Raw genomic sequence first — 18,588 nt, 5'->3', positions numbered from 1 at the left:
CTTCAGACAGAGTCTTGCTCTGTCACCCAGGCTGTAGTGCAGTGGTGTGATCTTGGCTCACTGCAACCTCCGCCTCCCGGGTTCAAGCAATTCCTGCCTCAACCTCCCTAGTAGCTGGGATTACAGGCACCTGTCACCACAGCCGGCTAATTTTCGTATTTTTAGTAGAGACAGGGTTTCACCATCTTGGCCAGGCTGGTCTTGAACTCCTGACCCCGTGATCCACCCGCCTCAGCCTCCCAGCGTGCTAGGATTATAGGCGTGAGCCACTGTGCCCGGCCAGATATTTTCTACTTACAGTGGGTTTAACCTGACGTAGCACATCATAAGCCAGGGAACATACTGAATGCGCATTGCTTTTACACCCTGGTAAAGTGGGAAAATCATGAGTTGAACTCTCATAAGTTGGGACTGTCTGTACACAATTAAATTGTTATCTTTTTTAAAGGAGGCACTGTGTTTTTGTTAGAGACACCTGCCCTAAAAGGCCACTGGACCCTCAGGCATGTCTACTCTGCTGCCTTTCTCACCCCCATCAGTGACCCTTTAGCGCTCCGTCTCTGTTTAACCACTGCATTCCTTAAACACATCACTTTATAAGACTGATTTCCTTAGTGTCAGGATGTTTTTAAAGTTAATCTTTCTTCCTCACTCTCAGATAGCGATTAATGGTAGATGGATCTGACCCTTGCTTTTTGAGCAGGAATCAAGCAGACCCAGTTTTCTATGTTCAGCAGCCAGTGTGAACAGGGTGTTAGTGAAAATGAGGCTGTTGAGTTAATAGAAATAGCTGCTAGCATTTATTATGTATTTGCTTTCAGTGTGCTATGCAAGTTTCCTGAATTATCTGTTTAAATCCTTACAACAAAAAGTATGAGCTGTGTACTCCTGACATTGATCCTGCCTCATCACACATTAATACTGCCATTCTACTCTCTTTTTGTAGCATTTGCCTATTAACTGTTTGCACATCTATTTATTTTCAACTCCTCTTTTCCCTTCTTTTTTTAAAAAATGAGGTGTAATTTACCTACAGTAAAAGACACAAATCTTAAGCTTATGGATTGATGGCTTTTTACATATGCACACGTTCCAGCATCCACCACCAGATGAAAATACAAAACCTTCCCTTGTGCCCTGTTTGAGTAGGCTCCCTTCTCAGCAACGTTCCAGCTGCTATCTGCAGAGAATCATTTTGCCTGTCCCAGAACTTTACGTGGAGTTCCATGCAGTTTGTTGTCTTTTGTATCTGGCTTCTTTTGCTCCAAATTAATTTTTTGAGATTCATCCAGTTGTGTGTACCAGTGAGTCATTTTCTTTTATTGCTGAGTTTGGATAACCAGATTTTGTTTAATCATTCTCATGGTGATGGACATGGGGTTGTCTCCAGTTTTAGGCCTTTATGGATAAAGTTGTGGTGAATATTCCTGTAAGTCTCTTTGTGGATGTTTGTACTCACTGATCTTGGATATAAACCTTGAAGTACAATAGCTGGTCGTGGCACAAGCTGATTAGGAACTCTGAGTAGTTTTCCAGAGTGTACACTCCATCGGTCATCAACTCGAGTGTACGCTCCGTCGGTCATCATCTTGAGTGTACGCTCCGTCGGCCATCAACTCGAGTGTACGCTCCGTCGGCCGTCACCTCATGTGTACGCTCCGTCGGTCATGAACTCGAGTGTACGCTCCGTCGGCCATCAACTCGAGTGTGCGCTCCGTCGGCCGTCAACTCGAGTGTACGCTCCGTCGGCCGTCATCTCGTGTGTGCGCTCCGTCGGCTGTCAACTCGAGTGTACGCTCCGTCGGCCGTCATCTCGTGTGTGCCCTCCGTCGGCCGTCATCTCGTGTGTGCGCTCCGTCGGTCGTCATCTCGAGTGTACGCTCCGTCGGTCGTCAACTCAAGTGTACGCTCCGTCGGTCATAAACTCGGTTATAAACTGCATCCTAGCCAACACTTAATATTACCAATCTTGTTTATTTCAGCCAGTCTCATTGTTGCTTTATTTGGTTTTCCCTAACAATGATGTTAAGCACCTTTTCTTGTATATTCAGATACATTCAGGTAGCTTCTTTCTTGAAGTGCTGTTTAACCCCAGCTCATTTTTAAATTGGATCAGTCATCTTTCTATTGACGATTTTTAGAAGGCTCTAAATAAGTCCTTTGTCATGCATACATATTTTTTCAGTTCATGGCTTGCTGTTTTGTTTTTATAATATCTTTTGAACAGAATTGTTTAATTTTGATGAGATCCATTGTATCAAGCTTTTAAAATGTTTAATGCCTTTCATATGTTGTCAGAATCTTTACCTGCTTCAATGTCCTGAATATTTTTTCCCAGAAGTTTTGTAATGTTAACTTTTATGTTTAGGTCTATGATGTCTATCCTTATGCCAATATTGCATTGTTTTATTTATTATAGGTTTATAGTCAGTCTTGATATCAAGTAGTATGAGTCTTCCAACTTTGTTCTTTTTAAATTGTTTGGGCTATTTTAGGTCCTTTCCATTTATATATAAATTTTAGCCTGTGAATTTTTACCAAGAAAAGGCCTTTTAGGGGTTCATTGAATTTGGAGAAAATTACCAATATTGATGATCCTATTTATTTGTTTAGGCCATCTTTAATTTCTTTCAGCAGTGTTTTGTAGTTTCCATTAGAGATTTTCCATGTCTTTTGTTAAGTTTATTCCTAGGTATTTTATTTTTTATGGTATTGTATTATAATCCTTCGATGTCTATTATATAGAAATATAATTGATTTTTGTTATTGACTCTGCTGCCTCCATAAATTTACTTATTCCATTAGTATGTCAACCTGCTTAGAATTTCTAAATACGTAATGATGTCTTCTGTTAATAAAAACAGTTTTACTTCTTCTTTTTTGGTATTATTTCTTGCCAGATCTCATGGACTAGGACCTCTGGTATAATCTTGAAATAGTGGTGAAAGGGGACAACTTTGCCTTATTCCTGATCTTCTGGAGAAAGCACTCTATATTTGTACCATTTTGTAGATGCCCTTTACACAGCTGATTTTCTTTCTAGTCTTAGTTTACTGAGAATTTTTGTCATGAAAGTATATTGAATTTTCTCAAGTGCTTTTTCATCTGTTGAAAAAATACCACTTCTGCATGATATGTTTTTAAAATTTATTTATAGTTTCTATTTGCCAATAGTTTGTTTGGGTTTTTATGTCTTTGTTCATGAAGGCTATTGGCGTGTGATTTTTTTCTTACAATATCTTGCTCAGTTTGGATATTAGGGTTATACTGGCTTCATTAAACAAAATAGGAAATGCTTTCAGCCTCTATTCTATGAAAATGTTTGTGTGTGCTATAATTTCTTCCTTACATGCTTGGTAGAGTCACAAATGAAACCACCTGGACCTGAAGTTCTCATTGTCAAGTCCTTGTCTATAATGGATTCAATTAGTTTAATAAATATAGGACTACTTGTGCCAGTTTTTGAAGGTTGTGTTTTTCAGCAGATTAGCAATTTCCTCTATGTTGTCAAGACTTGATGGCATAAAACTGTAATGTCCTTTTACTATCCTTTTAATGTCTTCAGGATCTATAGGAATGTTTCTTTTTTCATTTCTGTTCTTGGCAATATGTGGGTTTTTTTCTTTATTTCTTCATCAGTCTTGCCCAGGAGCTTATCGTTTCTGTTGTTATTCCTTTTTAATTTTTAAAAAATTTCAAATTTTTTAAGAGACAGGGTCTTGCTCTGTTACCTAGATTGGAGTACGGTAGTTGAATCATACCACGCTGCAGCCTCGATCTCCTGGGCTAAAGTCATTCTCTCACCATAGCCCCCAAGTAGCTGGGACCACAGATGCGCACCACCATGCCTGGCTAATCATTTTTATTATTATTTCCAAAGATCCTACTTTTGGCATTGGTGGTTTTCTTTAATATTTACCTTTTTAAGATATTGATTTCTGTTCTTTATCTTTTCCTTCTATTTTCTTTGGGTTTAATTTTCTCTTTTTCTAGATACTTGGGGCAGAAAATTAGAGCAGTGATTTAAGTTTTTCTCCTTTTAAACTTTTCTTTTAAAACATTTTCAGCTATAAATTTCTAGCCACTGGTTCTCTCTTGCAGATTTTGATATGTTATCTCTTCATTGTGTGTTATTAGTATTTCCCTTTTGGATGCCTCCTTCCTTTGAAGAAATCTTACTTCACACTTGTATTTCACATGTCCAGGGAGTCTCTAATCATCTATTTCGGTTTGTGTTTATAGATACTAGAGAAAGAGAGAGATAAAGAAGGGCGAGAGGGAACTCAGAGTTATTGCCTGTCACTGTTTTCCTCAGTAGTTCATCTTCTTCGTTCTGATGTGTTTGATTTTAGGTTAGAGCCCTTTCTCATTACATGGGTGAAATACTCCTTGAACCCTTGCATATCCAAAAATATCTTTCTCGGACTCTGTTAAGAGAATGACACGCTGGCTAAATACAGGATTCTTGGGTTCTGTTCTTTCATTCCTGTAGATTTTAATCCAGTGATTTCAGCTCCCAGTACTGCATGTGAGAAATCTGACGTCAGACCAGTTCTTTCTTCTTTGTAAGTAAATTATTGTTTTGATCTAGAAGCTTGAAAGTCAGTCTGTCTCTGTCTCTCTCTCTCTCTCTCTCTCTGTCTCTCTCTCATTTAGAGTAAATGTATTAGAAACTAGAAACTTTAACAGTAGTTGCCTAGATATGTGGGCTGTCTTACCAGTCTAGCCTGGCACTCTGCAAGCCTACTCAAGTTGCAAACTTGGGTCTTTCTTTAGATCCAGTTAAATTTTCTCCTACTGCTTGTTTAATGAATACCTTTTCTCTATCTGCTTGTATTTCTTTACTTGAATTTCTATTTTTTGCATGTTAGAGCTCCTGGGTTTATCTTCTAGTCTTGTTGTTCATAGTTTTCATGTCTTTACACTTTTACTCTATGTTTTGAAGTAGTTCTTGCACTTCAGATCAGTCTCAACAGTGACCAGGAGTTCCTTGTGTTAATCTACTCATTTGTTAGCTTTGGAAGTTGTATGTTTCACCTCTGGAAATCTTGTTTTGTATTATACTTTAATCGTCATGAGGGTTTTCTTTCTTTTTTCTGTTCAAGTTGTTGCTTGTCTCTTCTGCAGCTGAGTTTCACTGCTTGGTGGATGTGCCTGTGCATAGCAGCGGACTCCCTTAGACGTGTGTTTATTTTTCACTGTAGTTCGTTGCAGCTCAGGCCTGGCATTGGAGAGAAGCCTATCCCTCTCAGGCCAGTGCTGCAGAAGCAGAACGGCCACCAGCCCCCTGCAGGGTGACCTGGGCCCACAGACTCTCCACACCCCAGACTTCCCATATCCTCCATGCTTGGGTCTCTGCCTCCCCCCTCTTCTTCTTCTGGCCTCCTGCCTGCTGGTGAGACAAGGCACACTCACGTAGGGCTGATGCCAGCCTCCTTACCCTCTTCTGCTCCCACTCCCATCGGGAGCCCCCACAGTCCATGCAGCTGAACTGTGCCAAGGACAGGACTTACTGATAGGGGTCTTTCCTGTTCCTTTTTGCCCATGACAGCGAGCGTGTGTCTGGCCTCCCTGTGGAGTTGCCTTAGACTCGAAGGCCTGACCTGCACGCCCCTCAAGCAGAGCTGTAACTGGAGGGAGAATCCAGGGGAGCCACACTGGGGTTACTGGAGTGTCAGAGCAGGCTTATTTTCTATTGGTCACACTTTTCAAATGAATTAGTTAATATGAAGAAACAGAACATGATTTTAAATGGTTCCTTTTTAATTGTAGTTTACTGGCTATTACAATTTAGTATTTATAATGCCTCTTGCTCTGTGTACAGAAATGAGTGGTTAGTATTTTCAAAAATGAATGATATGGTTAGGCTTTCTGTCCCTACCCAAATCTCCTCTTGATTTGTAATCCCCATAATCCCCACGTGTCAAGGGAGAGACCAGGTGGAGGTCATTGAATCGTAGTGGCCGTTTCCCCCATGCTCTTCTCATGATAGTAAGTTCTAATGGGATCTAATGGTTTTATAAGGGGCTCTCTTCCCCTTCCACTGGGTACTTCTCCTTCTGGCCACCTTCTCCTTCTTCTTGTGAAGAAGATGCCTTGCTTCCCCTTTGCCTTCCACCAAGACTGTAAGTTTCCTGAGGGCTCCCCAGCCATGCATAACATAATTGAGTCAATTAAACTTCTTTCTTTTATAAATTACCTAATCTTGGGCAGTTCTTTATAGCAGTATGAGAACGGACTAATACAATGACCTGTAGTCCATATATGGAGATTATTTTTTCTCCTGCAAAATAGCTATGCTAAAAGAGATCTTTGTTACTGAAAATATATAAAAGTCACGAGTTTTTGTAGGAAAATTGAGAAGTGCTTTTATTATAGTCTGAAGTATTTATTGTTAACATTATTTTACTTTTTCCATCACCCTCAAATAGGCAACTCATACTCTTCATTATGTGTTTATAGGTTAGCATGGCCTCATTGAAAGAACTAGATCAAAGACTCTTTGAAAATTACATCGAGTTGAAAGCAGATCCCATCGTTGGCTCCTTAGAACCTGGAATTTATGCAGGATATTTTGATTGGAAGGACTGCCTGCCTCCAACAGGTAAGTAATAAAGTTTCTTGAGTAATAGATGTGGATATACTTTTATCAATTGATACTTGCTTGAATTCTTTTCATTTTATTCTCATTTTTCTCATATCTACTGAGAGTGAGAGATTAATTTGATTTTAACTTTTTGTTTGCTTAAACCCATTTCTTGGATAGTTTGGAAATTGGACACTTTGTATTATTAGTGGCTTAAAGCTGTTCTTAAATTCTAGAGAATAATTAATGATAACTTGTAATAATTGATCGTTTTAGTAATGCATTCCTGCTTCCTGTGATCTTCTCACATAGATACAATAGAGTGATTGTGAGTGACAGTGGCATGCAATGACCTTGTGTACATCATCAAAAAATGTATTAAAGAAATCTGGTCACTTCTATGTAAGACCTGATTAGTGATGCTGTAAAGGCGAAGGATAGGAGAAAAGTGTGTAGGAGTAAGATTATTATAGTAATTTAGCAAAGAGAATTGAGCCACAGAAGGATGAATGACACAGTTCAAGTATTATCTTTGTGATTTCAAATGAAAGTCACTTGAATCACTTCAAAATATATATTTTTAAAATAACTATTGCTTTCTGAATCAAGTAAACTTTTGATTGATCAAATAGTTGTTTCTTTGTATGAAATAACGTGGAATACCTAAAACCAAGCTGCCTGTTGGCACTTTTGTAGAGAAGTAGTTTATGTAGAAGTGGTCATGCTGGTATCGGACACGGGTTCTTCATGGGTGTACATATGCAGATATAACAAAGCACCAGTGAGTTGTTAACAGGTTTGGTAACTTCATTGTTTTAACCAATCACTTTAACCTCCTTTTGTTTTTATTGTATGGCACTTATACTAAACGATGATAAAATTGTTTACTGTTTAAACACCTTTGGTTTTTATTGTATAGTGTTCACGTATAGTGATGCCAAAAGTGTAAACTAAAAACTGGGATCATTAAATTAGCCACAGTTACTTAATGTGACCACAGTTATTGAATTTCCTGAGCTCACAGTCATGGCAGTCATGCCAGCCCTTATTCCTCATGTGCTTTTCTGTGCACACACTTTTCTGTGCACACACTTTCTGTGCCCAAACCACATTCAGTTCATACCCTCAAAGTACATCCTTTTAAAGTTTAAGGCAGGTTCTATCAGTATCTTACTTAAAATTCTTACAACATCTTCTCATGATAGTAAAACCGGGGAAGCTGTGCTGTGCCCACCTCTGCCCTGGCACTCTGCCCACTGCCCCAATGCTCCACCTCACAGCCCCTCTCCAGCTGGACTCAACCTCTGCCTTTTTGAAAAGCTCATCCTTCTAAAATATAAATTGGATCCTGTCAATCCCCTGCTGAAAAACCTTCGAGGAGGCTCATTCTCCCTGAGGCTAACCCCAGACTTCTCAGACAAGGTAGCATCCCCACAGGTACCAGATTCCACGGATGCTCAAGTTCCCAGTGTGAAATGGTGTCATATTCGCATGTAACCTATGCACATCCTCCTGTATGCTTTAAATCATTTCTAGATTACTTATAACACCTAATACAATGCCCGTGCTTTGTGAATAGTTGTTAAACTGTATCATTTAGGGAGTCATGACAAGGAAGAAAGTTTGTATATGCTCAGTACAGATGCAGCCATCTGGGTCCCCCACCCCGGAATATTTTCCATTCATGGTTGGTTGAATCCACAGATGCAGAAGCCACTGTTGTGGAGGCCACAGATGCAGAGGCCACAGATGCAGAGGGCCAGCAGTACTCCCTGTGCTTGCTATGAGTTACTTCCCTCTCCACGGGCTCCCCCAGGCAGCAGGCAGGCTGGGTGCTTCGTGCACTGTGAACCCTGTGCCTAGTCCCTCTCACCTCTGCCCCTCTCCTAACCTCTCCTGCCCTTCCGGGCCCTGTGTCCTCTGGGAGCTCACCCAGCCCATCCCCTGCATGTCTCCAGGTCGCATTGGCCTACCTCCATTCGTGATGCTCCCAGAGCAGCTCTTGCCACTCTCTGTGCCCGCGGGAAATGTTTTGTCGTTATCTAGCTCCTTGCTGGACAGTCTCAGCACAAGGCCGTCATTTGGGTGTCTTGTTCTCAGAGTTTTTAGCATAGTGCAGTCTGTGACACTCAGCTGATGCTGTGTGTGTGTTTGTGGAGTAAATGAAGATTGGCATTTTCTATAATAATATACCATCTCTCTAAATGTGCCAGTTGCTCCTTCTCTTCTAAGTGTTTGCCATATGCTTTTGCCTGATTTTTCTCAAAATTTTCTCAGTAGGAAAGTACATTATACAGTGTTCTAGCTTCCACTGTTCTTCTGATTTGCTTTTTAATAAACAGTACACGGTGGATATTCATATTTGCTGAATGGGAATGAGTGAGAGTGCTCATTTTCTTGTCCTTTGTGAATTCTCATATGGTAGTTGCATAGACTTGCTAAATTTGAGCAGCTGCGTTTCAATTAAAATGCGACTGTCAAGTGTATCTAACACATCAGCACGTCTGTCTGTTTAACTATTTAAACTCTTACCGAACAATGTATTACCTTGCACCATGCAAAAAGTAATACATTTTTCGGTAATAGTTAAAATGAATTTTGTTAAAGTTCGTATCTTCCCCTGTGATTAGCATGTAACGACATTAACTGTTCACACATCTAACACATCAGCAATTCTATCTGTTTAGTTATGTAAACTATTACTGAACAATGTATTACTTTGCATCACCATGCAAAAAGTAATACATTGTTCAGTAATAGTTTAAATGAATTTTGTCAAAGTTCATATCTTTTCCTGTGATTCACATGTAAGTACGTTAACTGTTCACTCTGAAATCATGCTTATCTTAATTGGTTATGTTCAAGGCTATTAAATCACTTGTGATATTTCTTTGAGAATAGAAAAAAATCATGACACAGCCCCTCTGAGTTTCCTGCGCTTCAGTGATGACTATAAAAATTTAGAATGGGCCACCGAGTTTCACTCTCAACAAAGTGATTCTTCTCTGTCGTCACTGAAATCTCCGATTGTTACCGAGAAAGAGGATTTATTTGCCCCTGATGCAGAAGAAGACTTTTCTTTGCCAGCCCTCTCTCAGACCTGCTGCCTCCGTTAACAAACAGCGAGGCATCTTTAGTGTATGCCGAACACCGGCAGGGGCAGTCGAGAATGTCTGTCAGGTGAAAGGCAGGTCTTTCCCATCCACCCGCTCCAAGGTGTCTTCGGAAAACAGACATCTATGAAGGCCCATTCCCTGAAGGGCGGCGTTAGGTCACAGGACTTCAAGTGCAGGGGCTGCTGGCCATTATCACGAGGCTGTGAATCGTGTGGCAGCACTTGAGTGAGCAGTAACCAGGGCGCGGGGGGGGGTAAAAGGCAGGCGATGCCGGGCTAACGGGGATCTTAGGGTTCTTCTGCATCCGGCTAGTTACCACCACTTGGAATTTCAAAGTCCTCACTGGATTTATCTTAGGGTTCTTCTGCATCCGGCTAGTTACCACCACTTGGAATTTCAAAGTCCTCACTGGATTTATCTTAGGGTTCTTCTGCATCCAGCTAGTTACCACCACTTGGAATTTCAAAGTCCTCACTGGATTTATTTAAGGTACCCAGAATCCTGTCTCTGTGACCTTCATATTTTCCAGCCATGACATTGAACTAGACAAGCCTCGGTTGTGAATTAGGATCAGAGCCTAAATGTAATCCTGAGGTTGATCTTAATAAGAGTCTGTAACCTCAGATAATCTTCACTACAAAATTAAGATTCTTCTGGCTGTGTGACATTAAGTGGTGAGGCTTTTTTTTTTAACATAGCTTCGTTTATTGGTTTTGTTTTTTTCCTGACAAACTTTCTTTCATAAGCAAATGGCACATGGCACCATACTACCAGCAATTTATTTACTCTTCCTCAGATTCCAAAAACATGTAGAAGTCATCGGTGCTCGTTTCACTTTTATAAACTCTATTTAGTTCTGTTCTTTGTGTAGTTTTGACTTCATGATTACTAACTGAACCTCAGCCTTGCATAGTCATATAGTGATTTTTAGTTTGTTTAAAGCTGACTTAAGTTGAGACCTTGTGTAAAGTGAGCAGCCAAAATAGTTTGACTATTAATCTTCCAAAATAATTTCAATTAACAACTTTAGTATTATCTTCAGAGTTTACTTCTTCAGAAACTGAATTTTGCAAATCATGTAGGTAACTGATTACTTATTGCTGTAGTTACCAATAAATTTAGTTTCCGATACTGTATGTAGTGATTAAAAAAAAAAATCCAGTTGATTAATTTCATGATTCAACAAGAGATATCCGTTAAAGCCGTAGCGATGTTTTTTTAAATCTTACCGTTGGGTATTTAAATTGTTGTCACCTCTTTATTTGTGTATATGTCAGTAAAGATTATTCTAGTTAGTTCTGAGTCACAAAACTGCTGTTAAGATTTTAATTGTTCTGTTATCTGCAATTATTAAGAGTTCTTAGTATTTGAATTTTATAAATTTTAAATAAGAATACTGTTGGTCTTTACTTACAAATACACATTGAAGTTCACGTCTTTGAAACATTAAATAAGAAAAAAGTATTATTTAAGTTTTCTGTTAAATACTGGTTTTATTTTTTCTATCAAAAAGTCATAAAAATTTAAATTAATGTATATTATTTAAAGTTATTTACTAAGTGAATCTAAACTTAATCATTTTCTATAGGTAAATAGTGAACTTATTTTTGATTCAAATGTGCTTATACTAATTATAGTAATTGAAATTATAATGGGAAAGGGAAAACTTTATATAATTTGTGACATGAGTATGTCTAGGACCATTCTAAAAATAACAGCAGAGTTGGTTGCTTCCATGTATGATGCATATAACCTAGAGTAGGGTAACCTCCTGCCCGTCAGTGGTGTGCCAGAGCACAGGCTTGGGGTGCACAGTCCATCAGTGAGCGAAACTTGTAAGTGTGTTGTCCAGGCAGTGTGCCAAGCAGCATATTCCAACAAATTGAAGAGAAAGAAAATGTAAGTCTAATTATGGAGACAGAGGCAGAAGCACAGCTCTTCTCAAGTCTATGTTTGTTGAATTTTATTTTAAGATCTCTGCCTTTTGGAATGTATCTTGCAGATGTTTTCACTGAATTTTACAAGAGACATTGCACAATTAGGTTATCTCTTGCATCCTGTAACTTAAATCATTCAAAGCTCAGGTCCAGCGTAGAATTTCTAGAGAATAAGAAAAATGCTACAAGAATGGAGATAAGGAGAAATTGTAATTTTTGTTTGATTTTCAAAAAATGGAAAACTGCAGACAGACCTCAAAGTTTAATGTAGCTCTCTGAGAAAATGGACCATTAAAATGTTTTCAGGTCCTTATAAAATAAGTTGTATGTTACATGTATATGTGAATTTATACATATATTCCTTATACATGCATTTATATACACACATTACTAGGTACCCATGTTTAGTAACGTAGTCAGCATTTATTGCATATATACCATGTGCAAGGCAGAGGGCTTTGCATAAATCACCTGATTTAATCTATATAACAGCACCTCAAGGAGTAAGCAGTATTTTTATTCTCATTTTATAGATGAAGCCACTGAGCACAAAGAAGTTAAGTGACTTGCTCAAGTTCATGTAGCTAGGAAATGGTGAGGTAGGGGTTCCGAGTTCAAATCCAGGCAGCCCTTAATTTTAGGCATTGTGCTGTGTTGCTAGACAATAAACAGCCTCCATTAGAAATCCACGAAGAGCCGGGCGCGGTGGCTCACTCCTGTAATCCCGGCATTTTGGGAGGCTGAGGCGGGCGGATCACCTGAGGTCGGGAGTTCAAGACCAGCCTGACCAAAATGGAGAAACCCCATCTCTACTAAAAATATAAAATTAACCGGGCACGGTGGTGCATTCCTGTCATCCCAGCTACTCGGAAGGTTGAGGCAGGAGAATCGCTTGAACCCAGGAGGCAGAGGTTGCCGTGAGCCGAGATTACGCCATTGCACTCCAGCCTGGGCAACAAGAGCGAAACTCTGTCTCAAAAAAAAAAAAAAAAAAAAAAAAATCCACAAAGAAAAAGGCAGATGTGCTGGTAGAATAGACACAAGTTCATGAAATTCACAAAATAACTAATATGGCCAATAAATATAAGAATAGGATAAAATTCATCAATTCTCAAAGAATGTAATTTAAAATACCATTAGGGTATCATTTTATTAAAACCCTCTGGATTGACAGATACTGTAAAGCTTGATAATACCTGCTTTTTGGCAAAGGTACAGAGAAAAAAACTATTCCGTCATCTTTCTAGGAGTGTAAATTGGCCCATCTATACACATACGTGTGTGTGCGTGTGTGTGTATGCACACATTTATATGTATAGAATTTACTTAGAAATTTTGTGTCTAAGAATTTGTCTTAAGGAAAGTTTTACAGAAGTAAGTAAAGAATTATGTACAGTGATGTTTATTGAAACATTTTTTAATATATGTAGAATCTGAAAAACTAAATGCCCATCAGTAGTGAATTGGTTAGATAATTTGTTATATATCTAAACAAATATTATACTTTCTTTATAATGGATGAGATGGATAGATGGATAAGTAAATGCATACCTATATGTGGGGGACTGTACATATATTGGTAGAAAATGTTGATTAAGGAGACATGCATTCATTCTTTCCTCATTTTTATTGAAAAAGACAATGTATCTATTTCATATGTACAATTTGACATGTATACACATATCTTGAAAGGGGATAAGAAGGAGCATGCTAGAAAACTTTAATTTTCTACTTTAAAATTTTGTTTTTAAAAATATTGGGGCAGAATAGATGTATTTTTATTTTAAAAAAAGAAATTTCTATATTTTAAAGAAATGAAAAACTTCATGGAGACAGCATACCCACAAAGAACAGGCACATGCAGTACTAACTTGTTTTCTTCTTGGACACACACTTGATTTGATAGAGAAATGGCATACATGGTGAATTTAGGTTTCTGCAAGTCATTTGACAGTTTTTCCTGATATTTTCAGGAGTCCTAGTTGCTGACTTATTGCCATCATGTCTTCATGTCAGTCTAGAGGAAAGCCTCTAGTCATTGCAAGAACACTCATTGAACAATGTTCAACATTTTATTAGACATTTGAAAATGGAATAAATTCCACTTTGGGTAAATTTGTGAAGAAAAACCTAGTAAAGTTAGCTTAGTAGTAGCACTATCTTACACTTAGAAAGTTTTTACAATGCCTTTATGTAAGCCTGTGATGGAACTATCCTAAAATTAATGATAAAATGTAGCATGCTTTCTTAATTAGAACTACCACAGAATAAAAAGTGCAAGCTTCAGAGGAATTTTGGTTTCAGTAATAGAGGAAGAACTTATCAGACTAACCGTTCCACAGTTAAAAATTGAACTCTGCACAGAATATAGAAACCCAGCTGTGAGAAGCACTGGAGAGCCGTCAAAAGCCGACAGACTGGAGGGGGCGCTTGAACCCTTGCAGGAGGGGAGCTTGCACCAGCCAGATCTGAGGGCCATCCACGACTGCAGCAGGTGCCCAGCACTCCTGCAGAAGGCACAGAGGGATGCAGCCAAAGAAACACTCGATGGAAACTTGAATCTAAAGGAAGGAATAAAAAGAATCAGAAATGGTTGATATGTGGGAAAATAGAAAAGACAAACTTTTTGGGTTTTGACTTTTGATTTTTTAAAAGATGATTAAATATAGAAAAATTTCTATATTTATTAAGTTGAATTCACAATCAAAGACCTTTCTTTGTGGAAAATTCCAAGTCCAAATGGTTTTACTGATAAGTTCTATGTAACATTTAAGGAATAAATAATACCAATTTTATACAAACTTTATCAGAAAATATAATAGGAAGCATATTCAATCTTATTTTATGAAACCTGCATAACCCCAAATCAAAAATGTGACAAGAACATTACAAGGAGAGAAAATTACAGACTAGCGTCCCTCATGAACGTTGGAACAAAAAATTGTAACAATTATTTTTAGCAGATCAAAGCACTATTGTCCATGCAGTGGAACACTAATTCATTATGACTAAGTAGGGCTTCTTTTTTTTAATGTTTGAAATTTTTGTTTTATTTATTTTTATTTTATTTCATTTTCCTTTAAGTTCTGGGACACATGTGCAGAGCGTGCAGGTTTCTTACATAGATACAGATGTGCCGTGGTGTTTGGTAGTCATGGGACGACCAGAGGCAGGAGCCATGCTGACCTCTTCACAAGATGACACCTCTACGTAATTACAGTCATTGCCGAGTCTGGTGGTTCTTCCCCATACGTAAATGTCCTAATGAATGACCGAATAAGGATTATAAGACATTTTTCTTTCCACTCAGCATATATTGCTCTTACTTTTCTATCAATAAAAAAATAAATCCATAAGCAGAGCTACCCCCTCTGTTTAACATAATCAAACTTCAAGTTCTCCTCCCTTTGCGGCTTTTTCAGTTTTGGTGGAAGCATCTAGATATATTGTAATGTCTTAGTTCAGCTCTGCACCCCACCCACACCTTCATACTACCCCAAACATCACCTTCAAATAATAACATTGTATTCACGTTATCAATTCAGCGGAAAATAGAGGTAGTTTTCCATTCCCCATTGTACATTTTTAAGAGGAATTTAGAAAGCTGCATTTTAATCATATGAGTTAGTGATATCACCAATAAGGTCATTTGAGGCCAGGGCTTCAGGGTTATAGTGAGCTATGATTGCACCACTGCACTCCAGCCTGGGCAACAGGGAGAGACCCTGTCTCAAAAAACAAACAATTTTTTTAAAAGAACTGATTATACTTTGGCACCTGCCAAAATAAACCATACATTCATTGCCCTGTTTAAACTTAGTCTAACTTGAATTCATAGATATGAAAATATACATGTTTGAAACAGCAAGAGTAGAATAAAGTGAAATTAATCTCTTAATCTGTATACTCAATGTCTACAAAATACTTCATGTACAGATAGAAAGTACATTTTTCATTCATAAAGTCAACAAATATTACCAAGTCTATACTATACAAAGCACTGTCCAAGTTTTCCAAGTTGTTCAAATAGCAGTTTCTGATTTCCAGGTTTAAAGCATAAATAGAGAAGCCGACAGTTCTGTGCGTAGGAGGTGGACGCACTGCGTTCTCACTTAACCAAGGTGGTAAGCACGAGTGTGCTCCCTCAGCATCTGGGGAGCCAGGGTACTGATCTCAAGAGTGTGCCCTGAATGTTCTCCATTTGAAGGACACCAAACTGGTAGCACTTGGACACACCCCCTTGGCCAGCAGAGGCTCTAAATGTCCCTTTCTGCATAGCGCCATCCCATCTCTGGTTTCTTTATCTTACCTATCAGATTTAGATTTTCAGATGTTACCTGTCAGAACAGATTTTTTTTTCCCTATCTGATCTCTTCCTCTCCAGTCTCACTCCCTCAAATCCTGCTGAAATATTCTTTCGAAGTTCATTTTTGTTCAGGTTTCTTCTTTCCTCACAGCCATTTCATGGCGCCTGGCCTTTGGAGGAAAACAGCTTTAGTACTGGTCATGTGCTGACCTGCTTAGCTCTGAAGCCTCATCTCTTCATACCAGCCGTTCCTGGTCATCTGTACTCAGTCTACACTGGGCCATTGCTAGTCCTCAAAGACCCAGCATTCCCTTTCCCAGATGCCCTCAAGCACACTGCTGCCTTCACTTGACCTTCCTTTCATCCCCTCAGACCTGGCTGAGGCCTGGAGACACCTTGCTGCACCATCATTTCACCTGAGCCCAGCCCAGCTCAATGCTCCCCCACACGCTGTCCTGCAGTCCGCATGGACCTGCCTGAGACCTGGAGACACCTTGCTGCACCATCATTTCACCTGAGCCCAGCCCAGTTCAATGCTTCCCACACACTGTCATGTCGTCCACGTGGGCCTGGCTGAGGCCTGGAGACACTTTGCTGTCCCCATCAGTTCACTTGAGCCCAGCCCAGTTCAGCGCTCCCCACACGCTGTCCTGCAGTCCGCATGGACCTGCCTGAGACCTAGAGACACCTTGCTGTCCCCATCATTTCACCTGAGCCCAGCCCAGCTCACAGTGCTCCCCACACGCTGTCCTGCAGTCCGCATGGGCCTGGCTGAGGCCTGGAGACACCTTGCTGTACCATCATTTCACCTGTGCCCAGCCCAGCTCAATGCTCCCCCACACGCTGTCCTGCAGTCCGCGTGGACCTGCCTGAGGCCTGGAGACACCTTGCTGTACCATCATTTCACCTAAGACCAGCCCAGCTCACAGTGCTCACCACACACTGTCCTGCTGGTCCACCTGTCTGGATGTGAACCCTCCTGCTTGTGTCTCCTCTCTGTATCCATGATTAGCCAGGCACCTGGCTTGGAGTAAGCATCCAGTAATAGATTTATTCAGTTATTAGTTGATTAGCTAATGCCTTGGTAAGGGTTACTCAAGCCATAGATGATAGGTGAAAATGAACATCAATAAAATACGAAATTTACCCTTGGGTTTTTTATATTAATAGTTATTTTCAACAGAAAGTCAAATTGAGTCAACTATTTTTTATTCAATAAATGTCAAAAAGAGAACTTTGGTTTATTAATTAGGATAAATAACCAAAAATAACATGGACACCCCATTTACAAAGAATTCGAGACCAGGCATGGTGGTTCACACCTGTAATCCCAGCACTTTGGGAGGCTGAGGTAGGTGAATCGCTTGAGCCCAGGAGTTAGAGACCAACCTGGGCAACATAGTGAGACCCCATCCCTACAAAAAAACACAAAAATTAGCTGGGCATGGTGGCACATACCTGTGGTCCCAGCTACTCAGGAGGCTGAGGTGGGAGGATCACGTGAGCCTGGGAGGTCAAGGCGTGGTGAGCCAAGATCCCATCACTGCACACCAGCCTGGGTGACAGACAGACCCTGTCTCAGGAAAAAAAAAAAAAAGAATTCAAATGCTATAAAATACTGTAACACCAAAGATCTCCTAAATGTAGTTCTACCTTTCTTCATTATTCTAAAGACACTTTGAGCCCCACAGAATTTTAAGGCTACCATCATGAACATCATATTCCTAGTGCTGTTTGTTGGGACACTTTTCAGAATCTGTTTTTGTCTCCGAGTGTGGACAGTGACTGTCGGCACTCAGTGCGTGGTGGTTTTCATCTCCGAGTGTGGACGGTGAGTGTCGGCGCTCGGTGGGTGGTGGTTTTCGTCTCCGAGTGTGGACGGTGCGTGTCGGTGCTCAGTGGGTGGTGGTTTTCATCTCCGAGTGTGGACGGTGAGTATTGGCAGTCAGTGGGTGGTTGTTTTCATCTCCGAGTGTGGACAGTGAGTGTAGGCACTCGGTGGGTGGTTGTTTTCATGTCCGAGTGTGGACGGCGAGTGTCGGCGCTCGGTGGGTGGTGGTTTTCCTCTCCGAGTGTGGACGGCGAGTGTCGGCGCTCGGTGGGCGGTTGTTTTCATCTCCGAGTGTGGACGGTGAGTATCGGGGCTCGGTGGGTGGTTGTTTTCATCTCCGAGTGTGGACGGTGAGTGTTGGCGCTCGGTGGGTGGTGATTTTCATGTCCGAGTGTGGACGGTGAGTGTTGGCGCTCGGTGGGTGGTGGTTTTCATCTACGAGTGTGGACGGTGATTGTTGGCACTCAATAGGTGGTGGTTTTCATCTCCGAGTGTGGACGGTGAGTGTTGGTGCTCGGTGGGTGGTGGTTTTCATGTCCGAGTGTGGACGGTGAGTGTCGGCGCTCCGTGCGTGGTTGTTTTCGTCTCCGAGTGTGGACGGCGAGTGTCGGCGCTCGGTGGGTGGTTGTTTTCGTCTCCGAGTGTGGACGGCGAGTGTCGGCGCTCGGTGGGTGGTGGTTCTCGTCTCCGAGTGTGGACGGCGAGTGTCGGCGCTCGGTGGGTGGTGGTTCTCGTCTCCGAGTGTGGACGGTGAGTGTCGGCGCTCGGTGGGTGGTGGTTCTCGTCTCCGAGTGTGGACGGTGAGTGTCGGC

The 18,588-nt window shown here is 40.5% G+C and overlaps 1 protein-coding gene across 18 annotated transcripts in view; it reads left to right on the top strand.

Moving 5' to 3' along the window:
* Positions 1-18,588, top strand: part of EXOC2 (exocyst complex component 2) — a 207,986-nt gene that overhangs the window by 154,067 nt on the left and 35,331 nt on the right. For 17 of the 18 annotated variants that reach the window (NR_073064.2, XM_017011022.2, XM_017011023.2 and 14 more), the window contains one exon: positions 6,463-6,604. Coding sequence is in view for 17 of the 18 variants with exons in the window: in XM_017011022.2 (XP_016866511.1) it covers positions 6,463-6,604 (142 nt within the window). In the remaining variant the exon portion in view is untranslated. Of the gene's footprint in view, positions 1-4,492; positions 4,561-6,462; positions 6,605-18,588 lie in introns of those variants that run through there. The other variant, XM_017011026.2, reaches the window with a different exon arrangement.

Source organism: Homo sapiens, chromosome 6, assembly GCF_000001405.40.
Source record: "Homo sapiens chromosome 6, GRCh38.p14 Primary Assembly".
In the NCBI taxonomy this organism is placed as follows: domain Eukaryota; kingdom Metazoa; phylum Chordata; class Mammalia; order Primates; family Hominidae; genus Homo; species Homo sapiens.
Note: the sequence above shows the minus strand (reverse complement) of the source record. Positions and strands in the feature narration are given on the sequence as shown.